Source organism: Homo sapiens, chromosome 19, assembly GCF_000001405.40.
Source record: "Homo sapiens chromosome 19, GRCh38.p14 Primary Assembly".
NCBI classification, from domain to species: Eukaryota; Metazoa; Chordata; class Mammalia; order Primates; family Hominidae; genus Homo; species Homo sapiens.
This window is the reverse complement of record NC_000019.10, coordinates 54,437,901-54,464,902: the sequence shown is the minus strand read 5'-3', so window position 1 is coordinate 54,464,902 and position 27,002 is coordinate 54,437,901. Positions and strand designations below refer to the sequence as shown.

At 54.9% G+C, this 27,002-nt stretch overlaps 2 protein-coding genes and 1 long non-coding RNA gene across 17 annotated transcripts, besides 1 other annotated feature; 2 read left to right on the top strand and 1 right to left on the bottom strand.

The window, feature by feature from the left end:
• Positions 1-1,124: 1,124 nt before the first annotated feature.
• Positions 1,125-3,171, top strand: LENG9 (leukocyte receptor cluster member 9). Its single transcript, NM_001301782.2, has one exon. It carries the CDS (start codon positions 1,377-1,379, stop codon positions 2,811-2,813), a length of 1,437 nt encoding a protein of 478 aa, NP_001288711.1. The 5' UTR covers positions 1,125-1,376; the 3' UTR covers positions 2,814-3,171.
• On the bottom strand, positions 2,887-15,704 carry LENG8 (leukocyte receptor cluster member 8). Of its 15 annotated transcripts, none has more exons than NM_052925.4 (16): positions 15,593-15,704; positions 13,521-13,613; positions 12,636-12,810; positions 12,151-12,252; positions 11,247-11,357; positions 10,221-10,473; positions 9,811-9,952; positions 9,336-9,539; positions 8,658-8,936; positions 8,438-8,578; positions 7,982-8,267; positions 7,055-7,156; positions 6,901-6,969; positions 6,671-6,800; positions 6,382-6,589; positions 2,887-4,137 (listed from the first exon to the last, which is right to left on the bottom strand). In NM_052925.4, the coding sequence occupies exons 2-16, from the start codon at positions 13,556-13,558 to the stop codon at positions 3,975-3,977; spliced, it is 2,403 nt and encodes an 800-aa protein (NP_443157.1). In that variant the 5' UTR covers positions 13,559-13,613; positions 15,593-15,704; the 3' UTR covers positions 2,887-3,974. The 15 variants fall into 15 exon arrangements, with proteins under 15 accessions (NP_443157.1, NP_001425215.1, NP_001425216.1 ...); NM_001438286.1 differs by having other exon boundaries at positions 15,597-15,704; NM_001438287.1 differs by lacking the exon at positions 15,593-15,704 and adding an exon at positions 15,159-15,246.
• Positions 15,047-15,954: an enhancer, noted in NCBI's record as "H3K27ac hESC enhancer chr19:54960127-54961034 (GRCh37/hg19 assembly coordinates)". NCBI's record gives its function as "activates a minimal SCP1, AML or CMV promoter by ChIP-STARR-seq in naive H9 embryonic stem cells {active_cell/tissue: H9 hESC(naive)}" and the evidence as "EXISTENCE:reporter gene assay evidence [ECO:0000049][PMID:30033119]".
• Positions 15,865-20,087, top strand: LENG8-AS1 (LENG8 antisense RNA 1). The gene is made up of 3 exons (NR_126418.1): positions 15,865-16,341; positions 16,688-16,738; positions 19,724-20,087. It is a non-coding gene; the product is annotated as an LENG8 antisense RNA 1 (long non-coding RNA).
• The last annotated feature ends 6,915 nt before the right edge of the window (positions 20,088-27,002 follow it).

Genomic DNA, 27,002 nt, shown 5'->3' with positions numbered 1-27,002 from the left:
GCTCCTTTAAGAGAGCCCGAGGGCGTGGCCAGGCGGTGCCCCTTGCAGAGGCGGCGGCTCCCGCAGTCCCATTCGTCAAATACTGTGCGCCACCGCCGGCCGGACGTGGTCCTGGGGCCGGGCCAGACTCAGCCACCGCGGGGCCAGCCGAGGCGGGGCTGCAGAGTGCTGCAGCCCCAGGAGTCTTTCTGGCCCTGAACGCCTCAGGTGGACTCCGACCCGGCGGAGCCGCCGTTTACTCTGGGAGCGGCTGCAGAGGGAAGTGTCTGAGAACACTTTTAGAGCAGTAGGGGCCTGGTCTCCGTGGGGGAAGGGTCCGCAGGCATCTTGGTTCTTTAAGGCCCCCGAGGGATGGGGCCGAACATGCAAATGATTTGGACTGAGGGGCCAGGTTCTCGTAAGTTTCCCAGAGGGGCGGGGCCGCAAATGTAAATCACTTGGACTGAGGGCGGGTCCAGGTTCTTTAAAGACGTCCCCTCATGGGCGGGGCACACAGGTATCACCGGGAAAGGGGCGGGGCACCACATGTAAATCACCGGGAAAGGGATGGGACACAGGTAAATCACCCGGAAAGGGGCGGGGCACCACATGTAAATCACCTTAAAACGGACAGGGCACACATGTAAATCACTTGGGGAGAGGCACACACGTAAATCACCCGGAAAGAGGCAGCACAAAAGTATCACTGGGAAAGGGCCAGGGCACGCATGTAAATCACCCGGAACGGGGCGGGACACATGTAAATCACTTGAGAAGGGGAGAGGCACTCGTAAATCACCCGGAAAGGGGCGGGGCATTACATGTAAATTACCCTGAAAGGAGCGGGGAACATATGTAAATCACTTGGGAAGGGGAGAGGCACACATAAAAAAAAAAAAAAATCACCTAAAAGGGGTGGGGCACTCGTAAATCACCAGGAAAGGGGCGGGGCACCACATGTAAATCACCGGGAACGGGGCGGGGCACTACATGTAAATCACCTAAAGGTCGAGGCACACGTAATCATCCCGAAAGGGGCGGGGCATTACATGTAAATCACCCAGAAAGAGGCAGCACACATCAATCACCGGGAAAGGGGCGGGGCCAGGCTCCCAAGAGCTCCGGGAGACCGAGACTGCCGCAGCCTTTACGCAGCTTGCTTTCCTGGCGCTGGGGGAGGGCGCAGCCGGGAAGTCCCAGAGCAGCGGTGTCAGGCTCTCCACCAAGGAGGGACTGGGCCAGAGTCCTCGCGAGGGCACGCGGCGTGGTCCCCAGAGCTAGGCCGGAGCGCGGGCCGCTGACGCCACTGTCGGGTGAGGCTCGGTGCATCCAAGGGGAGCCGCCCTCCGTGCGGGGCGACCTCGTCTGCGCGGCGGGCGTGCCAGTTCCCCGCACCCATGGCAGCGGCCAGAGAGCCGGAGTTGCCGCAGGAAGCCCCCGCCACGGAACCCGCGCCCCCGCCGGCCTGCCGCTTCTTCCTGGAAGGCCGCTGCCGCTTCGGCGCCCGCTGCCGCCAGCCCCACCCTGGGGCGCCGGCGCCGCCTGGCCGCGAGGCGCAGCCGGAGGCCGGGGCCAAGAAGCCGCCGCTGCGCACAGCCGCGGACGTCATCCAGCGCATCCGCTGGGACCCGCGCCTCGACCCCGCCGACTTCTCGGTGGGCTACGTCGACCGCTTTCTGGGTGTGCGCGAGGAGCCCTTCAGCGCCTTTTGCTGGGACCAGCCGCTGGCGGCGCTCGGGCCGGGCGTGCTGGCAGTGCCCCAGCACCGCGTGCGCTTCTTCCGCTTCCGTGGCCGCCTTGTGTGGGACCGCGCCTCGCGCACCGACCTCGTCTTTGGCTCTGGCTCGGCGGCGGGACGCGGGCCCACCATCCTGGACGCACCGAACACCGAGGGCGCCCACGGGGCAGAGGGTGCCGAGTGGACACTGGCGGGGACAGGTCAGGAGGCCCAGGCTGCCCCCAAGCGAGGGAGCACAAGGCCGCTCTGCACAGGGCACCAGGAACCAGGCGTGGAGGAACCCGGAGAGCTGGAGGCGGCCCAGGAGAGGGCGCTGGGCACAGCTGCTGATTTGGGAACACTGGCCCCAAGAGGACGCCTCGCCGGAGTGACTGAGGCACTGAAGCCAACAGCAGCCACCAGGACCACATTGCTGGGGGGCAAGGAAGCACAGGCCCTGGGAGTCCCGGGGGGCTCCGCTGAGACGACAGAAGCCGAGTGGGGTCCTGCGGCCTGGCCCGAGGACAAAAGGGCCCGCCTTAGTGTTGCAGCCCCTTGCCAACCGCGCCCCACACATTTTGTGGCCCTCATGGTGACCGAGCCTGGGCTACAAGCAGAAGTGACCAAGGCCCAGGAATACCTGGTCCACGTGGCCCCACACTGCGCCAACTTCCTAGTGCCCTCTCAGAACCTACACCTGACCCTGGCCCTGCTGCGACTGGCAGGCGCTGGGGAGGAGGCCGCTGCCATTGGAGCTCTGAGACGGGCCCTCTTGGCCCCGGGGCTAAATGCACCCCCTCGGCTGAGCTTTAGAAAGCTGGTCCTCCTGGGCCCGCATGTGCTGTGTGCCCCACCCTCTCCCACACTGGAAAGCATGGCACAAGTGCTGAGCCAGAGGCTGGAAGCCGAGGGGCTGAGTACACTACAGTCTCCAGGGCAGCTGCACCCCCACCTCACCGTGGCCAAGGTGCCCCATGGTTCCCAGGTCCACCTCCCCAAGCTGGAGTTCACCCTCAGCCAGGAAGTGGGGTGCCAGCCCCTGCAGACACTCTGGCTGTGCCGTATAGGGAGGACAGGGGGGCCTTTCCAGCCCCTGGCTGAGATCCCCCTGGAGTGACACCCCCAGACCTCTGGAGGAGACAATGGATGCAAACAGCCCACACAGGAAAGACAAAGCAGGAGCGTGCACGCTCTCTCTTTCTCTCTTTAATTTTGGTTTCTCTCAAGCTTCCAAATGGTGCTCAGTGCTCCAAGGAAAGGAAGGAAGGAAGGAAAAGGAGGGGAGAGGAGGGGAAGGGGAGGCAGAGGAGGAACATCTGGAAAAAAAGCAGCCTGACAGTCCAGCTGTTTGCAAACTCATAGCACATCCTCCAGTTACATGGCAGAAGAGGGAGGGAGGGAGGGCCAAAAAGAAAAGGGAGAGGAGGAAGAAAAATAACTTAAATAAACACACACACAAAGAAAAGAGAAGGCAACATGACGTGAGCTGGTGATCCATGAAGGCAGGGAGGGAGGGGAACCGTTTTACCTGTGCTGAACCAAGGGAAGAATGCGGAGAGGGAGGGAGGGAAAGGGGAAAAAAAAATCAGAAGAAACACTGGGGGCAGAGGGAGGAGGGGACACGGAGACAACTTTATACAACTTGAGACGAGGCGGCCCGGCCGGCGTGTCCTCAGTGCGGTGTGGCGGCGGAGGATCTGGTGCTGGTGGTGCTGGCACTTCAGGGTGGGGGGCCGAGGACGGGCACAGTCTCTAAGCAGCTCCCCCACCCCAAACACGGAGGCCCCAAGGGGCTGGGAACAAGAGTCTGTGGCGAAGCAGGTGAGGCAGCGGGCGGTGGGCGGGCTTGCTGGGTGCCCCCGCCGCAGGCGGGCACGGGCTGGACGGCCTGTCTTCTTTCCACTGGCCCCCCGGCATGGGATGGGCCAGGGCGCCGGGTCGGGTACCGGAGTGCAAGCTCGAAAGAGAGAGAGAGAAAACACTGAGACAGCATTAGTGGAGTGAAAGGCGGACACAGATGAGCCTGCAGACCATGCCCCCAACCCTCCGCTGCCCATCCCCTCCTCCCCAATCCCATCCCTCTGAGGCAAAAAATAAAAACGTAGAAAAATCTCTGTACAGACTCCCCGGTGGGAAAACGGGGGCAGGGATGGTGGCTCTTCCTGGAGCGCACTCCCCACAAATAAATTTACAACCCAAGTCCACGGCTCAAAAACAGAATCCGCAAAGGCAGCGCTGGGGGCTGCAGCCCCTGCCCCCGCCCCTCCTCGCTGGGTGCTCAGAAGGCTGACAGCTGCGCCAGGCTGAGGCGGCAGTCGATGCTGGAGTTGTCCGGGCCCGTGTAGGCCAGGCCCAGGGGCTCTAGGAAGGCCCGGCAGGCGGCCTCGCCCTCGAAGGCCAGCTCGGCCTGCAGGTAGGAGACTGGCAGCGCAGGGCGGAAGCTATGGAGACAAGAGGAGAAGGTGATGAGGCGGGCGGGCGGGAGGGCAGGGGAGGGCCCCACGAGCGGGGAGGCCCCCCCATTCGGGTGCCCACAGGATTTCCTCAGCACAGTGCCTGCTGGCTCCCCACCCGCCTCCCAGCCTCCCCACCTCAGGGGCTCGGGGGGGGCCCGGGGGGGGTTAGTGACCCCAGTCCCCTGTGCCCCCCTCACCCTCACTTACCTGTGCGGGGGCCAGGGAGGAGCGGGGACGGGCAGGGAAGGGCCCAGCGGGCTCCTCCGCTGGCTGAGGGGCAGGGACCAGATGGAGGGAGCAGCACGTGGCAGGGGATGGGGATGGCGGGGCTGCCAGGGCCACCGTGGGGACCCAGCCCTCGCTGCCTCCCCTGCCCTGCGTTACAGTGTCTGGGAAGCCAGGCGCAGGGGTGCCAGCTAGCACTCACCACTACACACTGAAAGCAGTCACTTCCGGCTGCTGCTAAAACACACTACTGACTGAGCATCTAGCACGAGCCAGGTCCTCAGAGCTCCCTGAACCCTCTTCCACAGGGTGCAGCCCTACCCTTTCCACACACACAGGAACCCAGGCACCGAGTGAGGGGCACTAAGTCCTAGAACCCGCTTCTGCTCCAAAGCCAGAGCTTTCCTGGAAGCCCTGGGATCAGAGCCCACTCCGTCTCCCAGTCTCAGCTGGCAGGGCAGGGTCAGCCTCCTTGGGGGGAAGGTGCTGACACAATGAGGTCAATGACAGACTGGCGCCCCACCCACGAGGGGCACTCATGGCTATGTTCCCAACCAAGGCCAATTAGGTATCAATTAACAAGGACACTCGCCCAACCACACACCCCTGTGTAGCACAGAAGCTTGAGAGCCACCATTCATGGGGCCCATCATGGCAGCAGACTAAGCAGCCTCCTGCCTCCCCTTCCTTCTAACTTCCCAAGCTGGTCATGGAGCTCTGTGCACGGCACCCCACATCCTCGTCTGCTCCTGTGACTCCTACCCTGGCTCAGCCTCTCCCTGAAGTTGGCTTGACCCACACTAGATTCCAGAATGAGTCTCCAAACCTCCAGGCTGACAGTCCCTCCCTAGCTCCAAACTATGCTGTGACCATGACCTCACACGGAGGGCCACCTGGCCAGGCTCTCAAGGCCTCCATGCTGTGACCATGACCTCACGTGGAGGGCCACCTGGCCAGGCTCTCAAGGCCCCCATGCTGTGACCACAACCTCACGTGGAGGGCCACCTGGCCAGGCTCTCAAGGCCTCCATGCTGTGACCATGACCTCACGTGGAGGGCCACCTGGCCAGGCACTCAAGGCCCCCATGCTGTGACCATGACCTCACGTGGAGGGCCACCTGGCCAGGCTCTCAAGGCCTCCATGCTGTGACTATGACCTCACGTGGACAGCCACCTGGCCAGGCTCTCAAGGCCTCTTCAGTCTACCGGTCAACCTCTTCGACCAGAATTTCTCCACCTTGGCAAGACTGAGCTCTGAGGCCCAATGGCAGTGGCAGGGCAGCATCCCTGGCCTCCACTCACTAGATGCCAAGAGCATCCCCTTGCTGTGACAAGCGAAAACCTCTCTTGACATTGCCCAGCGTCGCCTGGGCACCTCAATCACCAGACAGAACCATGCGTCTAAACATGAGTCAAGCAACTCATCCCCACCCACAGCAAGCCAGGCGCAATGTCTAGTGAACGAAGGACACTGCAGGGGCATGGCCTGACCAGGGGCCTCTGGCACCGCGCCCAGTGTGGCCTCAACACAGGTGTCTCCCTAAGCGTTTCTGGTGCTCTCAAAGGAGCTGAGTGGGACTGGGCCTTGTCCTGGTAGACCAGAGGCTGTCTAGATGGTCTCTATGGTGGGAGCACAGCGACAAGCTGAGAAAGCAGAGACCTCAGGGTTCTGAGGAAGCCCAGGGCAAGGAGTGAACTAGGGGGTCCAGGCAGGAGAGAACAGGAGGAAGAGACACACAGATGGGGTGGAGAAGAGGCCCCAGAGGCAGTGAGCTGGGAACAGTGGGGAGAGGGAGAGGAGTGACCCGGAACACAGAGGTGACCAACAAGGAGAGCAAGAGGAACTGGAGAGGGGAGGGCTGAATGGAGAAAGATGATGGGGAAGCAAGGACCAGGACAAGGGTTGGGGGCTGGGGGAGGCCTGCGGCCAGGAGCTGGTCTGAGGGGCGGTGCGAGGCGGAAGGATGGGAAGAGCAAAGGCAGAAGGGAGCTTGGCACCACATACGTTTTGATCATGGCCTTGAGGGCGACCTTGCGCTCCCGATCTGCAAACTTGTCCACGAGGTAGCCAGACATGCAGGGTGCATGGCAGTAGAGCCGGAAAAAGCGGTGGTAGTTGCCCAGGGCCCAGGCTGTCCTTAATGCCAAGGCGTGGGCCACGCAAGGATCTGCCTTCAGTTCTCGTGTGAGGTATGCCAGCTCCGTGGTGATGTCTAGCACCAAGACAAAGAGGGTGAAGTCAGCAGGGCTCAACCCTGGGTACCATGGCCTCTGTCCTGGGGACTGGGCCTCACCTCCCGAGTTCTTGGTGAAGATGTAGTAGAGGATTCGGTAGGCAGTAAACTCGCCCACATTGCCAGGCAAGTTCTCGGCGTACAGCGACTTGAGCTGCGTCTGGCACTGGTTAAACTCTTCATGGTCACCCTGGAAGGCAGAGGCACCGAGGGAGGAGAGCAGAGTGAGGGTGCTGAGGGCAGAACGGCAGCAGGAAAGGGGCTGGGGAGGCCCGCAGAGGCCAGCTCACCTTCTCCAAGGCGATCCGGGCATGGGTCTCGTACACCTCCACCGTGAACTCGGTGCGGATGCCCTGCACCTGGGGCAGCGGGGCGAGAACAAGAGTCACAAGGAGCGGGAGGCAGGACTGGCTGAGGCCAGGCCCCTCCCAGCGCGAGTCTCACCGTCAGATCCTGCCGGATCGACTTCATCTGCTCGCAGGCAAACGCGTAGTCCTGCTTCTCTTTCCAGTGGCACTTGACCATGCACAGCGACTTTTTCAAAACCTGAAAAAGGGAACTGAATTCACACTCGGAGTACAACTCAGGTAGCGTGGCCAACGGCTTCCACTTATTTGGTGGGAGAGTTGCAACATTAAAAAAAGAAAAAAAAGGCCAGGCGCAGTGGCTCACGCCTGTAATCCCAGCACTTTGGGAGGCCGAGGTGTGTGGATCATCTGAGGTCAGGAGTTTGAGACCAACCTGGCCAACATGGTGAAACCCCGTCTCTACTAAAAATACAAAAATCAGCCAGGCGTAGTGGCAGACGCCTGTAATCCCAGCCACTAGGGAGGCTGAGGCAGGAGAATCGCTTGAAGCCGGGGAGCGGAGGCTGCGGTGAGCCAAGATCACGCCATTGCACTCCAGCTTGGGCGACAGAGCCAGACTCTCTCCCAAAAAAAGAGAAAACAAACCCACAAGACATGGGTTAAGAGTGGCCACCTCCACACCCATTTCCCTATAAGCACATGGCTGTTCACAGGTTCTGCAGCAGAACAGTGACTACGCCAAACACTGGAAACACAGCCCCCCACGCCCCACAGCCCACGGGCCTGGGAGAAGGCTTTATGCTCCGTGTCACCTAAGCCAGGAACCACGGCCCAGAGGTCAAGCGATTCGCCGGCCAAGCTGCACACCCGCCACGCGGGGCTCCAGGGCAGCAGAGCGCCTTTGCGCTCCTCTCAGAATGCCGACCAGCCGAGGCGTCTCTGGCCGAGCTTCCCCTGCCATACCAGAGCCCCCGTGTGGCCTCTGCCACCCTCCCTGGGTTGGCTCCCCAAGTCCTGAGCCAGCACGGCCTCACAGAGCAGAACTGCCCTGCTGGGCACTTACTGCCACAGGGCGCACGGTGGACGGGTCGGGGGCACAGGTGAGGCGCAGGTAGTGCTTGGTGATGTCAGGGCAGGTGCCCACGATCTGCAGCTCCTGCCAGTCAGGGTCAGCCCCACTGCTCTCCAGGCTGCTCATCTGCAGCACCAGGGGCTCGAGGCGCAGGCGGCGGGAGTGTCCGTGCTGGAAGCGGGCTGCCCGCTTCTGCTTCTTCAGCTCTCGCTCCGGGTCCTCACACTCCAGCGCCGCCATCTTCTTTCGACTGCGCTTGGTGGGCGCCAGATCGTGCCTAGGAAGGGATGAGGGGCAGTGAGCGCGACAGGCGTCTCCAGCCCCCCTTCAGCCTCGCCCCTTTGGCAGCTGGCTGTCCACCTGTCCGGCCCTCCTCCTCCTTCTCCCATGGGTCCCCAGTACCCTCCTCCACCCTGGCCCGTGTGTCGAGCCCTCACACAGTCTCACCTCTTCCCACGCTGCGCCCTGCCTCGGCCCCGATCCATATGGGCCCCTCGACCGCCCCGGCCCTTAGGGGGCGGGTTCCTGCGGCCCACAGGGTGACACTCATTCCCTGAGTAGGAGCTGTCGGAGTCTGAGTGGGAGTCACTGCAGGAAGAAGCAGGAGGGTCAGGCCTGAAACGCCTCCCCCTCCCTCACACACAGCCCCAGCCGGGAGCCTCAGTACCTTCTGCGGAAGTGGCGCGTCGGGGACCTGGAGGAGGAGCGGGAGCGGGAGTCTGTGCTGGAAGAAGAGCTGTTGTCCTTCATGAAGACGTTGCGGTTGCCAAACTTGGTGAAGCTGTTGCCCCGGGCTCGACCGGCACCCCCAGCCCCGGGCGTCCCTCGCTGGGACGGGGCACCCCCGCCCCTTGTCGCCGAGCCTGCCCCTCTAGGAGGGTGAAGGCTGCTAGCGGCCTCCCACCGCTTCTTCTTAGGGCTCTCAGCCACAGGCTCCCGGGTCAGCCTGAGAATACAGCAGGGCAGGGCGTCACCAACCCCGCCAGACACTGGCAGGACAGCCGCCACCACCTCCCTCAAGGTACCGACCCGCCTCCGAAAGGAAAGGCACTTACCCCAGGCGGCTCAGCTACTACAGTGCAGAAATGAGACGCGAACCCAGGTTTTCCGTCTCCAGAGGGTGCGCTTAACCACTGAGCAATGCACGCCTCTCCAGCACCCATGGTCCCCACCCCACCCCACCGGCCTCCCTCCAACCAGGACTTCATCCCCCCAGGATCCAACTTTCCAGTTCATTTCTCTTTGGAGCTCCTGGTACCTGGGACCCGCAACTCTCCTACCTCCATACCCAGCCCATGCCTCTCACAGCACCACCCTCCCACCTATGTCCCCCACCCAGACTAACCCCGGCAAGGGCTCCCGGCTCCAGTCAATGGTATAGGCCGAGCCGTCCTGCAGCCGCGCCTGCAGCACCTCCTTGAGCAGCTTTTCCGTGCGGTCCTTGTCCTCCTCCGACTCACAGGCGGTGAAGCAGCGCTCCACATACTCTTTCATGTCCTGGGGCCAGTCATCCGGCTTCCCAGACAGGTTCCCCCGGGCAGAGGACCCGCTGCGGGAGGACAGATGAGGGGCTCAGCTGGAGACGATCCCAAACTCAAAAGACCATCCCCACCGCCACTCTGAGCTGACACAGCGGGACGCAGTCCCCAAGTTTTCCTTCTGTCTCCTTCAGTGCTCACAGCAACCCCCAAGAGAGGGTCCTTCTGCCCTTTTCAGAGGCGCACACTGAGGCTCAGGGTGGGCAGCTGGCCAGTGGGACTGGACCATAGACGCTGAGTGCAGAGTGTGGGGCTGCGACGGGGCAAGGGGGCAGACGTCACCTGTGGTTCTGAACTTTCTCAGGGTTGGGCTGGGGGCCAAAACCACTGTGCTGGCCCTCTGCGTTGGAGCCAAAGCTCTGGGTGGTAACAGCAAAGGGTCGCTTCTGGATGTTGAACTTGAGACCTCCAGTCCCAGGGGCGGCTGTGAGGGCAGCGAAAGCTATGGTTAGGCCCTTCCCCGGCACATCCAGGGGTCCCCAGGGGACGGGAGGAAGTGGAAATGCAGGGAGGAGCGCTCAGGTTCTAGAGGAGGGCTCCAGCACACATGTGCCTGGTCCAGAGCAGCCCCACCCCCAGCCTGGCGATCACAACACCCAGAAACAAGGAGCAGCACACACCACGGGCCTCACACCCAGGAGCTCTTATGAGGGCCCAACCGCTCGGACCTCCACGTAGCTCTGCCAACTTACGTTTCATGCGGTTCCACAGCTGTTGGCCCTTCTTGGGCTTGGCAGGTTCGGTGTAGGTGTGTGGCCCATAGGCCTGGCCCGTGGCGGGCCCCGCCTGGCTGTGCTGTGTGGCTGGAGCTGTCCCAGGCTGAGGGCCACTGTTCAGCGTGTGAGCCCCATGTGGGGGATTTGAGGGCTGAGGGGGCTGAGCCGACGGCAGCTGCTGAGGGGGAGCCTGGTAGGACATGCTCTCATCCATGCCGGGGACTGGGGGCTGCAGAAGGAAGCAGGCGCTGAGCACGGGAGGCAGATTCTGGGGCTGGCGAGTGGCACTCAGCCCTCGCTGTGAGGACGCAGTGGTCACAGCACTCAGCACTCAACCCTCCCGTGACCTTCCCAAATGTGAGTTCATTCGAGTCCTCAGTAACTCTGTGAGGTTAACATTTGTTAACAGCCCTTTTCACAGCTGACAAGGCTCCAGCTCAGAGACTAAGCGACTTCCCAGGGCCCTAAGCTATGAAGCGGCAGCTGGCAGCGTTTCAATGCTGGAGTAACAGCCACCGACAACACACCCACTCCAGCGCTACCATCTGAGCACAAGACACCCATGAGCACACACACTCATGGAGCCCAAGGATGAGGCTACCATCCTTCCCGCTTTCGAGAGCTGACCGAGATGCGTAATTACACCAGGGGTGGGACAGCTGGGATTCAAACCCAGGTCTACCTGCCTCCTGTGCACTAGCCCGGCCATTCCTCCAAGCTGCACATTCAATGCAAAACCCAGCCGGTGTGTGCACGCCTGTGGGTGACCATGCTAGGGAAAAAGATGAGATGTCTTTCAACATCTCAGCCCTGGCCTTGGCTCAGCCTTAAACCCACCCCAGGTTCAAACACTATGCTCTGTCCTCCTCATTTTCAGATCAGGAGTTGCTTGGAAGGAAAAAAGCAGCTTAAGGAGTACAAGCCATTCCTCATTGACAGCTCATTCAAAAATCTACACTTCCTCTGCTTGAGCAGGGTATGGGAGCTGGGCTAGGATGTTACCTGGTTCAGAGTCCCTTGGTGTTGGGGTGCGGATGGCTGCTGGGGTGTGGCTGAGCCATAGGAGCCGGCCATCCCATACTGGGAAGGGGAGCCATAGCTCTGGTACATGCTCTGCAAAGGCGCAGGGAGGGAGGGTTTAGTGGGAGGCCTACCCTTTCCGCTTCCCCAGCCTGCTCAGGAACTACACCAGCCATGACCCTCTACCAATCCCTCACCCCTTTCTCTCTTCACTATATTAATGCACCACATCCTCTCATATATTAGGAAAAGAAAAACCTCTATCAATCCCACATCTCACTTAGCTAGTTCTCGGAAGAATATAATCAACGATACTGAGTGCCAACTCTTCTAAGCACTACGACAGAACAAAAGGAAAACCCATGCTGTAATGAAGCTTGTGCTGGAATTACATGTCCGGCTGGAGACATCAACATGTAATACATCCAGCAATAAGGATCATGAAACAATAAGATGGCAAAGAAAGGGAGAGGGACAGGCTGCGAGGCAGGAATGCTACTTTCAATCAGTGTGTCAGGTAGAGGCTCTCTGAAGGCGGCATCTGAGCAGAGACCTCCAAGAGGCGGCAACACAGGGAGCACTGCAGCCAGGGCAAAGCGAGAGCGGGCCTGGCGGGTGCGGGCATCAAGGAGGTCTCTGCTTCGATGGCCATGGCAGAATGAGCATGAGGAGAGAAGGGACCAGAACCGGGTATGTAGGACCTTGTGGCTCATGGCGGGGACCTAGGAATTTACCTCCTGGGCAAGTTAGAGGGTTTCTGAGCAGTTATCACTGCGATCTCCAGTCCATCCACCACCCAGCCCCATCCCGGCAGACTCCACTTCACCTCGCCCCGACCCAGCAGACTCCACCTCGCCCTGCCCCGCCCCACTGGCTGGGCACTCACCATGGGATAGTAGTAGCTGTAGGGGTAGGCATAGTTGTACTGCTGGTACCACTGGTAGTACTGCTGCTGCTGCAAAGCTGAGGCTTCTGCCTGGGACACGTACTGTGGAAGCAGAGGCACATGTGCCGTCAGCAGCCCAAATCCACAGGCACACGGCCCCCAAAGGGCAAGCCTGTTTACTGGTGGCCAATTGCCAAGGGATGAAACTGGGTCCATGTATCTGCAAAGTGAGCCACTGTCTCTACCATGAGACTCACGCACGTTAGAGACCAGGGGCATGGGCATGGCCTCCCTCTTCAGAACCACATCACGCCCTAATTTCCTCAAGGAAACAGAACTTTTTCCCGTTCAGATTTAGATACCCTGGAACGTCTTTTCATGTTTCCCCTCAGAGCACCCCGTCTGAATGATACAACAGGACGCCAGACTGTGTCCCTCCCACAACCTCTGGCTCAGGGTACCCCAGCCCCATGAGGCCTTCTCACCTGTGCACTGGCCACAGGCCCATTGCTGCTGGACTTGGCAGAGCCGCCGGCAGCTCCTGACTTGCTGATGCTGGCCAGGGCCTGACGGGCCTTCTCCCACTCCGGGTTCTCGTGCATCGGCGTCTCCATGCCATTCTCTCGGCCTGCCCCAGCCACCATGCTGTACTGAGAAGACCTGCAGAGAGAGAGGACATCAAGTCACACCTGTTCTCCCCACTGTACACAGGTGGGCAAGTTGGGAGGCAAATTCCAGCCCCTGGATCCCATATCTAACTGTTACTACCAGTCTAAGCCTAAGTTTTCTAATCTGTACTATGCTGATAAAGGGTTTCTGCTTCAGAGTCTGCTGGGAGGGATAAATGAGATCACCTACTTAAGGTACTTATCCCAGAGCCTGGCACACAGCAGTTGTTAAAACCAAACAAACAAAACAATTAACAGAACCCACAGAACTGAACACAGGCCTTGGCACCTCCTAGGGCTATGTCTTTCATGAATCAATGAATTCTGTCTGACATCACCCCAGTCGGCAGGTTATCACACTATTTTGAGAAAAAATAAGGAATCAGCAGAAAAACAAATAAATGACTGTGTATTGAGTGTTGGGAAGCTGCCTCCTAATTACACTTGCTTGAATGAATCATCACAATTCTGCAAAGCAAGCGCTGTACTGTGAAAAACGAAAGCTCAGAGAGGTGAAAGCTTGCCCCTCTCCACACCACAACCAAATGCTTCCCTCTGTGTTTGCCTCACCACCACCCCCACCCACAGGGATTGTGGCATCACCTCCCCTAAGGCCACGGGAGGTCCCACCCCAGAGGACAGCACTGGGTCTTGCTTCCTCTTTCCCTCCCGACTGGCCTCCATCCCTCTCGCCTCACTAACCAATCTGTGCTACGTTGATCACCCACGTTGGCCGCCATCTGGACCTTGGGGTATAAGGGGTGGACCTCGGGAGCCAGACTGCTTTTTCACTGTCTATGAGAAAAAGAATGAGTTAGGGAGACTTAAGGGGGAGCTAAAAACACGTCACAAAGTGGGGAAGAAAAGTAGATGGACTCAAGAGAAGCCGGGCAGAAAAGGGGAGGCTGACTGAAAAGCCACTGGGGTCAAGGATCTGAAGAGTTCTGGGTGTGGACTAGAAAGGCTGGAGTGAGGGGAAGCCCCTGGCCCCTTTGTAGAGCTCCAGGTGGAAAACGAAGGATTTGGAAACAGGGAAGCCAGAGCAGACTTCCCAAAGGGAAGGAGAAGGGTCTGAAACCCATGTGAGCAAAGAGAGGCTGTGATGAAAGGTCCAGAGGGTAGGGGTGCCTCCATCAAGGGGAAAAGGTCTACAAAAAATTCTAGGGGCCAGGCGCGGTGGCTCACGCCTGTAATCCCAGCACTTTGAGAGGCCAAGGCGGGCAGGTCACCTGAGGTCGGGAGTTCGAGACCAGCCTAACCAACATGGAGTAACCACGTCTCTACTAAAAATACCAAATTAGCTGGGCATGGTGGCATATGCCTGTAATCCCAGCTACTAGGGAGGCCGAGGCAGGAGAATCGCTTGAACACGGGAGGCGGAGGGCGGTAAGCTGAGACTGCGCCATTGCTCTCCAGCCTGGGCAACAAGAGCGAAACTCTGTCTCAAAAAAAAAAAAAAAAAAAAAGCTAGGGAGTACGGGTTGTGAAAGGAACCTGAACCAAGAGGATGGATGCTATAATGAGAAGAGTCTGAGGGAACCCTTAAGGCTGAGAGGGTGGAAAGGTTTCCGAGAACTCTGTGAAAAGGGAGGCCTTTCAGGGAGCATCGAGGGGGCTGGAAGAATATTGGAGAAGAGAAGAAAATTTTGAGAGGAAAAGGGGATTTTCCGGAAGTTAACCCTGGAAGCAAGTGGTCGTTGAGCGTTCCTGAGAATGCCAACGTGAACCCCAACGTGAAGAAATGGGTTCTTAGCACTGACAGACTGATTTCAAAAAGGTCTCCGAAGGGCAGTAAAGAGACCTACGTGGGAGTCCTCAGTGGGACTACCCCTGCCTGCTTCCACGGGAGGTTCCCGGAAGCAGGGGTAGGGCTGGGAGAGAAAAGGGATCACCGTGGTTGGGTGTCTGGACATAAAGCTTTGGGAATGCCAAAGAAGACCCAAAACATGTTCAACGAATTAAGAGTGGGGTACAGAGAGAATTGGAAGAAAAGTGGAGTGTCTCCGGAGCAAGGATTCAGGAGCCTAAACTCCCGAGAGGGAGTAACTGATAAGTAGGATAATTAATCCCGCAGGAGAACCGGAATTCCCACGAGTTGACGGGATAGGAACGGGAGTCTGGAGCTGGGGAAAAGCCCTAGAAACGCAAAGGCTTAACTTAAACAGGACACAGGGCGTGGGTGGAGACGAGGGATCGTGGCGGGGACACAGGAAGAGGAGCCCCAGGGCAGAAGGGAGATTAGAGGTAAGGTCAGGAGTTGGGGGCTGGACAGAGGACTCCCGGACGGGTCTCAAGAACAGAGACAGGCATCAGACGCGAGGCCTGAGGTCCCGGGAGCACCTGGCCGTCCCGCAGGCTGGGCGAAGGCAAAGGAGGACGCCGGGTGGAGGAGGCCGCTCGGATCCCCACGACTAGCCACGGAGCCACTGCCCAGGCCGCGCCTGCGCACCACGCCCCAGAAAGACGCGCAGGAGCCGCCCGTCGCCCGGGGCAACACCCGGTCAACGGCGAGTGAGGGGCGCCCCGGGGCCCCGAGAACTCCAAGGGAGAGGAACGGAAATTAGAAGACGACGGCGCACGCGCGCTAGTGCCCGAACGCGCGGCCCCAGGCCCGGTGCGCAGGCGCAGTGGCTGCCCCTGCGCCGCCACACCCTGTCGACGCTCGCGCGCGGCGTCTGCTGCTGCGACGGCCGAGAAGGCCTCGGGGCTCGCGGGGCGCAAGACCAAAAGGAGATGCTATCCCCGCCCGCCTGCTCGCCTGCCGCTCCCCTTACCAACCAGGATCCTTCGCTGCAGGGACACGCCAACAACCACCCAGGCGATCAGCAACACGGCCACGACACCGCTGTGCCACCCGGCTGGCTCTGGTCTTCTTTGGCTTCGACGTCCTGACCGCGGCGTCCTGACGTCACGCGGCGGCCTTGCACCGCCTCCCTCGGCCCTGCACAGCCAATGAACGCCACGAGCTGCGCTTGAGCCCGCCTTCCTGCCCACGCACTTACGCATGAACATTTTAAGGCAGACCGGAAGTCTGGGTGGGGACGGTGGCCCCGAGGAGACAAGCGTGGCCGCATTAGCTCTTTCTGCCTCCCACGCAGCCTTATTTTTTTTATTGTTGTTTTCTTGTTGCTGTTGTTGTTGTTCTCGGAGACGGAGTCTTGCTCTTGCTCTGTCGTCGCCCACGATAGAGTACAGTGGCGTGATCTCTGCTCACTGCAACCTCCGCCTCCTGGGTTCAAACAATTCTGCCTCAGCCTCCGGAGTAGCTGGGATTACAGGCGCGCGCCACTATGCCCGGCTAATTTTTGTGTTTTTAGTAAAGACGGGGTTTCACCATGTCGGCCAGGCTGTTCTCGAACTCCTGACCTCGTGATCCCTCCGTCTCGGCTTCCCAAAGTGCTGGGATTACGGGCGTGAGCCACCGTGCCCGGCCGCAGCCTTGTTTTGACTGAGTCAGTGGGAGCCATTACTGTTCCTAAATGTAAACTGGCGTGACAGGAGTTCCGGGATTGTCCACAGCACGGTGATGTGGAAGCCCTGGGGAGAGAATGATAAAGAAAGGGGATGAGGAACAGCTCCACCCGGAAGAGCGGGCTTCCCTAGCAAATGAATCTGGAAGGGCGCAGGGGAGGGGGCACGGCGAGTTCAGATGGACCGAGGCTGGAAGCTGACGCGGTTGGAGGGGGATGGGTGTAGCTGTTGGCAGTGGCGCTGGGGTGGAAGTGTGTGGGGTCACAGATGTGTAAGGGTGGGCGCGGAGCAGACCCCCGAAGGTCCCTGAGGTCAGGCTGAGGCATTGGACCAAATCCGTACATAGGCATTTCTCTGAACTGCGCGCCACCTTTTGAGTGCCATCTGTTTCCGTCCAGGACTCTGATACAACTATCCAGTCCGCTGCAGGGACCGGTCACTGTGTCACAGTAAGTGGTGGGATTTAAGAGGCAGTTTTCCTCCTCATGTTCTACCATTATGAACGTCTAGCTTGAAAAATACATACCATTTTCATAACTACGTATTATTTTGTTAGTGCTAGCATAGTAGATCTTTTTCCGTTATTTTACTCTGTGGGGGGGGGGGGGTTTGTTTTGTTTTTGTTTTTGTTTTCTTTTTGGTACTAAGCTTTTTGTTCTGGAATAATTTTGGATTTATTCAAAACGTTGCAAAGACCGGGCGCGCTGGCTCACGCCTGTAATCCCAACACTTTGGGAGGCCGAGATGGGTGGATCACCTGGGGTCAGGAGTTCAAGATCAGCCTGGCCAACATGGTGAAGTCCCGTCTCTACTAAAAATACAGAAATTAGCTGGGCGTGGTGGCGCGTGCACCTGTAATCCCGGCTACTCGGGAGGCTGAGGCAGGAGAATCGCTTGAACCCAGGAGGCCAAGGTTGCAGTGAGCCGAGGTTACACCATTGCACTCCAGCCTGGGCAACAAGAGTGAAATTCTTGTCTCAAAAAAAAAAAAAAGAAAAGTTGCAAAGATCATAAGCAGTCCACCATGTTTTATGCCCACTTTCTTCTGATGCTGTCATCACAAGCACCAACAAAAGTGGTTTGTTGTAGATACTGACATGATGCATTACTGTAACTAAAACCCAGACTTTACTGGGATTTCACCACCTTTTCCTCCAATGTTTTCTTTACATGCCAGGGTACAAGCCAGGACCCACGTTCCATTTAGCTTCCTTTTACCTGTTGTATTTAGGGTGGGTTTCTTGTAGATAGCATGTAGTTGGATCTTGCTTTTTTTTGCCCAAGCGAACAGTCTCTGCCTTTTAAAAGAGGTGTTTATAACTGTACTTTTATTTTTTATGTCTTATTCTTTAGCATTCTGTACACAGATACAGCGATAAAATGAAATGACTGGAACTTAAATGTGAAAACTCTTTACAAGTAAGCCCACAATTAGATACATTTATCTTACATGTCAGGGAAAAAAATTATGTAAACAGGACAAATTATATCACAAAAGAATCCCAAAGTAGAAAAAATACCTAAGAAATGTGTCTAACCATGAAAAGTACTGTTCTCTTGGTGTCTTCACATCGTGTCTTCTGTGTACTTAAGTACAAAACATTGTTGCCTCTGATTAATGCACCCTGTACTTATTTTTCTGTTGTCCAGTTACATATTTGGTTGGTTCCAGGGCTATGTTCATGTAGCCATCCAGGCAAACCAGCACCCCTCCCTTAATCCACTTCAGAATTTTACCCCAACTGTCTGATGATGTGCTCTAAGAAGTCACTAGGGGATTGCTTTTCTTAAAAAATCTATTATTATTATTATTTTTTGAGACGGCTCTGTCGCCCAGGCTGGAGTGCAGTAGCACGATCTCAGCTCACTGCAACCTTTGCCTCCCAGGTTCAAGCAATTCTCTTTACAGGCGTGCACCACCACACCCAGCTAATTTTTGTATTTTTAGTGAAGACAGGGTTTCACAGTATCTGGAATTCCGGACCTCAGGTGACCCGCCCGCCTCTGCCTCCCAAAGTGCCGGGATTACAGGCATGAGCCACTGCGCCTGGCCAGTAGGGGGTTGCTTCTGAAAACTTATTTTAATAATCTTGGGTAGGCCAGGCGCGGTGGCTCATGCGTGTGATCCTAGCACTTTGGGAGGCCGAGGCGTGTGGATCACCTGAGGTCAGGAGTTCAAGACCAGCCTGGCCAACATGGCGAAACCCCGTCTCTACTAAAAATACAGAAAAATTAGCCGGGCATGGTGGCGCATGCCTGTAATCCCAGTTACTCATGAGGCTGAGGCAGGAGAATCGCTAGAACCCTGGGGGTGGAGGTTGCAGTGAGCCCAGATCATGCCATTGCACTCCAGCCTGGGAGACAGAGCGAAACTCTGTTTCAAAAAATAATAATCTTGGGGGGCAGGAAACCTAAGTCATAATCCCGGCTCTTTTACTTAACCAGCCGTATGACTTGGAAAACTCGTTTCCCTTCTCTCGGCTCCAGATTCCTCATCTTGCAGCTGGGATCCAGAGCTCTCACTCCAGGAGCCCAGTCACAGCAAAAACCAAAACTGTACTTTTTTTTTTTTTTTGAGACAGGGTTTCTCATTCTGTCACCCAGGCTGGAGTGCAATGATGTGATCTCTGTCTCAGCCCACAGCAGCTTCAACCTCCCAGGCTCAAGTGATCCTCCTGCCTCAGCTACGCAGTGTATGGTATTTTGTTACAACAACCAGAATGTAGTAAGACATTTATTGAAGGATATCTTGGTTCCTTCCAAGTTTTTGGCAGTGATAAAGAAAGCTGCCATAAACGTGCACGTGCAGATTTCTTTGTGGGCAGAAGTTTTCAACCCATCTGTGTAAATACTGGGGAGCAGTGTTGCTGGTTCATATTCTAAGAGTATGTTTAGGATTATGAGAGACCACCACACTGTCCTCCAAAGTAGCTGTACCATTCTGCATTGCCAGCACCAATGAAGAAGGGTTTCTGTTGCTCCACATTTCTGCCAGCATTTGGTGGTGCCAGCATTTTGGATTTGGCATTCTAATAGGTATGTAGTGGTGTCTTGTTTTTTTTTTGTTTTTTTGAGACAGAGTCTCACTCTGTCTTCCAGGCTAGAGTGCAGTGGCATGGTCTCGGCTCACTGCAACCTCCGCCTCCTGGGTTCAAGCGATTCTCCTGCCTCAGCCTCCCGAGTAGCTGGGACTACAGGCGTGCGCCACCACGCCCAGCTAATTTTTGTATTTTTAGTAGAAACGGGGTTTCACCATGTTGGCCAGGATGATCTCGATCTCTTGACCTCGTGATCCACCTGCCTTGGCCTTCCAAAGTGCTGGGATTACAGGTGTGAGCCCCCGCGCCCGGCCAGTGGTGTCTTGTTTTAACGGACGGTTCCCTAATGACATACGGTGAACATCTTTTCCTGTGTTTATTTGCCATCTGTATTAGGGTTCTCCAGAGGGCCAGAACTAACAGGATATATGTATATATTGAAAGGGAGTATATTAGGGAGAACTGGCTGACAGGATCATCAGGCAAAGTCCCACTATAGTCCATCTGCAAGCTGAGGAAGGAAGAAGCCAGTCACGTCTCAAAGTCCAAAAGCCTCAAAAGTAGGGAAGCCAACGGCGCAGCCTTCAGTCTGTGGCGGAAGGCCTAAGAGTCCCCGACAAACCACTGGTGGAAGTTCAAGAGTCCAAAGGCCAAAGAACCTGGAGTCTAATCTCCAAAGACAGGAAGTATCCAGCACAGGAGAAAGATGAAAGCCAGAAGACTCAGCAAGCCAGCCCCTCCCACCTTCTGCGCTGACTGGATGGTGCCCACCCACACTGAGAGTGGGTCTCCCTCTCCCCGTCCACTCACTCAAGTGTCAGCCTCCCTGGCAACACCCTCACAGACACACCCAGAAACAATCCTTTTTTTTTTTTTTTTTTTTTTTTTTTTTTTTTTTTTTTTTGAGACCGAGTCTCACTCTGTCACCCAGGTTGGAGTGCAGTGGCACCATCTCGGCTCACTCCAACCTCCGCCTCCCGGGTTCAAGCAATTCTTCTGCCTCAGCCTCCCGAGTAGCTGGGACTACAGGCACGTGCCATCATGCTGGCTAATTTTTGTATTTTTAGTACAGACAGGGTTTCACCATATTGGCCAGGCTGGTCTCAAATTCCTGCCCGTCTTGGCCTCCCAAAGTGCTGGGATTACAGGTGTAAGCCACCATGCCTGGCCCCTTTTCCTATTTTTTAATCAGATTGTTTTCCTGTTAACTGAGTTTTAAGAGCCCTTTGTAAATCTTGGATAGCAGTCCTTCATGAGATAGGTCTCTTGCAAATAGTTTCTCCCAGGCTGCAGCTTTTCTCATTATATTAAAAATGTTTTTCAAAGAGCAGAGGGTTTTGTTTTGTTTTGTTTTTTGAGATGGAGTCTCGCTCTGTCGCCCAGTCTGGAGTGCAGTGGCGTGATCTTGGCTCACTGCAAGCTCCGCCTCCCGGGTTCACGCCATTCTCCTGCCTCAGCCTCCTGAGTAGCTGGGACTACAGGCACCTGCCACCACACCTGGCTAATTTTTTGTATTTTTAGTAGAGATGGGGCTTCACCGTGTTAGCCAGGATGGTCTCGATCTCCTGACCTCATGATCCGCCCGCTTCGGCCTCCCAAAGAGCTGGGATTACAGGCGTGAGCCACCACGCCTGGCCTAGCAGAGGGGTTTTTTTATTATTATTTTAATAAAGTCAAGCTTGTAAGTTTCTTTCATGGATCATGCCTTTGATGTATCAAAAAAATTATCACGGCTGGGCGTGGTGGCTCACAGCTGTCATCCCAGTATTTTGGGAAGCCGAGGTGAGTGGATCACTTGAGGCCAGGAGTTTGAGACCAGCCTGGCCAACGTGGCAAAACCCCATCTCTACTAAAAATACAAAAATTAGCCGGGCGTGGTGGCGCACACCTGTAATTCCAGCTACTCAGGAGGCTGAGGCATGAGAATCACTTGAACCCAGGAGGCAGAGGTTGCAGTGAGCCAAGATTCTGCCAGTGCACTCCAGCCTGGGCGACAGAGTGAGACTCTTGTCTCAAAAAAAAAAATTCACAAAACCCAGTCATGTAGGTTTTCTCCTATGTTATCTTCTAGGAGTTTTATAGATTTGCATTTAACATTCAGCTCTATGATCCATTTTGAGTTAATTTTTGTGAAGAGACTAAGGTCTGTGTATAGATTTGATTTATTTATTTTTGGCATGTTGATGTCCAGTTGTTCTAGCACCATTTGTGGAGAGAAGTTTGGAAGTTTGAGCATTTTTTATGATACCTTTTTTTTTTTTTTAGACGGAGTCTCACTGTCATGCAGGCTGGAGTGCAGTGGCACAGTCTCGACTCACTGCAGCCTACTCCTCCCAGGTTCAAGCAGTTCTACTGCCTCAGCCTCCCAAGTAGCTGGGATTACAGGCGTGCACCACCACACCCAGCTCCTTTTTGCATTTTTAGTAGAGACAGGGTTTCACTATATTGGCTAGGCTGGTCTCAAACTCCTGACCTCGGGATCTGCCTGCCTTGGCCTCCCAAAGTGCTGGGATTACAGGTGTGAGCCACCACGCCCAGCCTTATGATACTGTTCTATCTCTGCTCTGTGCCCACCACCACACCCAGCTAATTTTTGTATTTTTTGGTAGAGACGGGGTTTCACCATGTTGGCCAGGCTGGTCTCGAACTCCTGACCTCAGGTGATACGCCTGCCTCAGCCTCCCAAAATGCTGGGATTACAGGTGTGAGCCACTGCGCCTGGCCTTGTCTTCACTTTTGTTTTTTTGGTTTTTTTTTTGAGAGGGAGTCTTGCTCTGTCGCCCAGTCTGGAGTGCAGTGGCGCGATCTCGGCTCACTGCAAGCTCCGCCTCCCGGGTTCACGCCATTCTCCTGCCTCAGCCGCCCGAGTAGCTGGGAATACAGGCGTCCACCACCACGCCCGGCTAATTTTTTGTATTTTTAGTAGAGACGGGGTTTCACTGTGTTAGCCAGGATGGTCTCGATCTCCTGACCTTGTGATCCGCCCGCCTCTGCCTCCCAAAGTGCTGGGATTACAGGCGTGAGCCATCGTGCCCGGCCCACTTTTGAAAAACAGTTTCAGTGAGTATCGAATTCTAGGTTGACTACTTTTTTCTTTTGCTACTTTAAGAATTTTCTTACACTGCTTTCTCACATTGTTTCCAGTGAGAAATCTGGTGTCATCCTAATTTTTGTTCCTCTGTTTATAAAATCTTTTTGTTTTTCATCTGGCTGTTGTCAAGATTTTCTCTTTGTTACTGGTCTTAAGAAATTTGATTATGATGTATCTTGGTTTATCTTTGTGTTTCTTCTGCTTGGGGTGTGTTGAGTTTCTTGTATCTTTGGTTTTATAGTTTGTATCAAATTTGGGAAATTTGGGGTTATTATTTCTTTAAACACTCTCTCTGTTCCTTTCTTTCTCTCTCCTTATGGGCCTCCAGTTACACATATATTAAAATGTCCCACAGCTCACCAGTGTTCTTTTCATTAAAAAAAAATATATTCATTCCTTCTGGGGCAGGGCATGGTGGCTCATGCCTGTAATCCCAGCACTTTGGGAGGCCAAGGCAGTAGGATCACTTGAGCCCAGGAGTTTGAGACCACCCTGGGCAACATGGTGAGACCTCATCTCTACAGAAAATTTTTAAAGATTAGCCAAACATGGTGGTGTGCGCCTGTAGTCCCAGCTACTCGAGAGGCTAAAGTGGGAGGATCGCTTGAGCTGGAGAGGTTGAGGCTGCAGTGAGTCATGATCACGCCAGTGCACTCCAGCCTAGGTGACAGAGTGAGACCCTGTCTAAAAAGTAAAAAAAAAAAAATCATTTTTTTAAATGTTTCATTTGGACAGTTTCTAATGTTGTCTTCCAGATTTTTTTTTTTTTCCTGCAATGTCTAATCTGCTGTTCTAGGGCTGGGTGCAGTGGCTCGCACCTGTAATCCCAGCACTTTGGGAGGCCGAGGCTGGCAGATCATTTGAGGTCAGGAGTTTGAGACCAGCCTGGCCAACATGGTGAAAGCCCGTCTCTACTAAAAATACAAAAATTAGCTGGATGTGGTGGCAGGTGCCTGTAGTCTCAGCTACTTGGGAGGCTGAGGCATGAGAATTGCTTGAACCTGGGAGGTGGAAGTTGCAGTGAGCCTAGATCATGCCACTGCACTACAGCCTGGGCAACAGAGCAAGACTCTCCCCCAAAAAACAAAAATCTGCTGTTCCAGCCAGTACATTATTTATTTCAGACATTGTAATTTCTATCTGTTGATATCCAGTTTGAGTTTTTTTATATCTTCCGTATCTGTAAAGAACTTTTGGAACGTATGGAGTACAGTATAATAGTTGTTCTAATGTTCTTACCTACTAATTCTAACTCCTGGGTCCGTTTCAGTTGAATGATTTTTATCCTCATGATGTGCCCTATTTTCCTGCTTTTTGCATATTTGGTGACTTTGTTGTTGGATACTAGACAATATCAGTATTACCTTGTCGAGCACTCGTTACTTTTGTATGCCTATAAATATTCTTGAGCTTTGTTTGAGAATGCAGTCACCTTACTTGGAAGCAGCTTGATCCTTTCAGGTTTTGCTTTTAAGATTCCTCAGGCAGGACCAGAACAGTGTTTAACAGGTTAGGGCTGCTTATTCCCCACGGCTGATGTAAGACCCTCTCCGTGTTCTACCCAGTGTTCCTTCAGTTATGAGGTTCTTCTGGCAGGAACAGCGCCTTGTCAAGGCCTGTGTGAGTCCCCAGAACTCAGGCGCTATTTGCTTCAGTCCCTCCAGGTGGTTCTTTCCCTGGCATTCTAGTCTGCAGTAACAGAGGACCATGGACTGGTGGCTCAAAAACAACAAACACTTATTTCTCACAGTTCTGGAGGCTGGAAGTCCAAGATAATTTATTTTTATTTTTATTTATTTATTTTTTGAGATGGAGTCTCGCTCTGCTGCCCAGGCTGGAGTGCAATGGCGCGATCTTGGCTCACTGCAACCTTCGCCTCCCAGGTTCAAGAGATTCCCCTGCCTCAGGCTCCCGAGTAGCTGGGACTACAGGCACCCACCACTACACCCGGCGAATTTGTATATATTTAGTAGAGACAGGGTTTCACCATGTTGGCAAAGCTGGTCTCGAACACCTGAGTTCAGGTGATCTACCCACCTCGGTCTCCCAAAGTGCTGGGATTACAGGCGTGAGCCATCGCACCCGGCCCATAACTTCATTCTCAAAACAAAGCTCAAGAACAAAGCTCAGACTCCCTGCTTTGTCTCCTCTGCTCACGGAGTCCTCCCAGCTCCGCCTCAGTCTTCCCTCCCTGTCCCGTGGTCTAGAAACTTGCAACAGGACCCAGCGGCAATTTTAGGGCTTGCCTTGATGTTTCCCGTTCCTCAGGGATCACTTTCTTGGTAGAGTCTTGACCACTGTTGTTTTCTTGTATTTACTCTATTTTTGGGGGGTCAAGTCCAGTCTCTGTGACTCCATCCTGGTCGCAGTGGAAGCCCCCATAGGTAACATTCTAAAAATAACACTGGATTTTCCTTTTGTAAAGTTTGGGTAAAATGCCTTTTTTTTTTTTTTTTTTTTTTTTGAGACGGAGTCTTGCTCTGTCGCCCAGGCTGGAGTGCAGTGGCGCGATCTCGGCTCACTGCAAGCTCCGCATCCCGGGTTCAGGTGATTCTCCTGCCTCAGCCTCCTGAGTAGCTGGGATTGCAGGCGCCCGCCACCATGCCCGGCTAATTTTTGTGTTTAGTAGAGATGGGGTTTCACCGTGTTGGCCAGGCTGGTCTCAAACTCCTGACCTCAGGTGATCGCCTGCCCCAGCCTCCCACAGTGCTGGGATTACAGGCGTGAGCCAGGGTGCCCGGCCAACTTCTTGTTGAGAGATCACCCCCAGGCTCATTGGCATGGGAGATCAAGCAGCTGAGTCTCAAGGTACTTTGCAGCCGCCCAACAGCCAGCGGATGCCTGTGCTTGGGAAATGGGCTCAGGGGCACTAGAGGGCAGTGTTTGAGAGGAAAGAAGTCAGCATAGCAGCAGGGCCGGGCCTGGGGCAGACAGCCCACATGGTTAGGAAAAAGTGAGTGAACGCATGTGGCCCCCAGAACCCCTCCCTGAAATTGCAGTTGATTTTTATTCCCACCGTCAGGCCCACATATCTAAAGCTTCCTCTGAACGCTCCTTGCAGTACACAAAATAGAAATGATTGACAGGCACAGAGCAGCAGCAGGCCCCACGCTGTACACCAGCATCTGGCACTGTGGGTCACCAAGCACCAACTCGATCCCCTCGGAGCCAGGTGTGTGTTGAGATTCAGGATTTTTCAGTTGCAAAGGCAATATGATCTCTACTCCACAGGGCACACGGCACCCTCAGTGCTCAGCACAGCAGTGTGCAGCAGCCTGGTTAACTTTTCTGCAGGGAAGTATGTGAACGTTCACACCAAGCGTGTCAGTCATGTCTGTAAGTCATCTCCCACCAACACAGGTCAGGTTTTCCTGCCCAATGAGCTTGGGGATGGCTTGACTTTGGAGCTCTTTGGATCTGTGGATTTTGGAATTTTGGATTTCTGATACCCGTTTGATCAAAGAGGCAACCGAGGTCTAACGGGTCAAGTGACTTTCCCATATCCGTGAAGGTCATGAAAAGCAGGGCCAGGATGGTGGCCTGGGGTGCCTTGAATGATAAGCTGGGCCCTTCACTGTGCAGGCCCCTCTCCTTCAGTCCACTCTGCCACTGCTGTCTGCCACACCCTGCTCTGATAGCTCCTCTCTGCCAGGCTTTTCCCTCACATCCTCAACTCAGCCAAGAGCTGGTTTCTTCCAGAGAGCCCTGCTGTGCAGTCAGTTATTGGACTTCTCTTTTTGTGCATGTTTGTTTTCAGGGTTTAGCTGATCAAAGTGGTATCGTTGTAACAGGCAGCTCTAAATAGAAGTCTTCAGAAGCCTGTGTGTCTTTTTCTGTAAATCAATTCCCAAAAGCAGGATTGTTGGGGCATGGGGTGTATGCAGTTTTGATCTGATCACATACAAGCGCATTTTTTTTTTTTTTCAAGGGATGGTGGCAGCTCACAGCCTCAGGAGAAGTGTTTTGAGTGCCTGTTCCTCTAGGTCCTCGCCCGCCCAGGACATCACCACTCTTGTTAATTTCATTGTGTCTAGGTAGTGAAAAAGTGTAGTTTCTCATTCTTTCAAATTGCATTTCCCAATTATTAGAGTTTGAATCTTTTTGTCTGTTTACTGATGTTGGAATTTTTATTGAGTATTCAACTCAATTGATTACTTTTAAATGGGTTGTCTTTTTCTTAGTTTATGAAAGCTTTTGTAGATTATATCTTTTAAGAATAACATTTCTGCATCATAACTGTTAACATACACACACACACACACACACACACACACACACACACACGCACGCACACACTCACTGTTCCCCAGTCTGTCAATTTGCCATTTGACTTTACGGTATGTTTTTCAATCTATAATTTGCCAACTAAGCTATCTTTTCCTTTCTGGTTTTATGATCTCCTGCTTAAACTCCTCCCTCCCCATTTTCCCTACCCAGATACATGACATGCAGACAATATACAAATATTCTCCTAATTTCTCTGGTTTGTTTTGTTTTGTTTTGTTTTTTTCTGAGATGGAGTCTCACTTGATCTCCCAGGCTGGAGTACAGTGGTGCAACCTCCACCTCCCGGGTTCAAGCAAT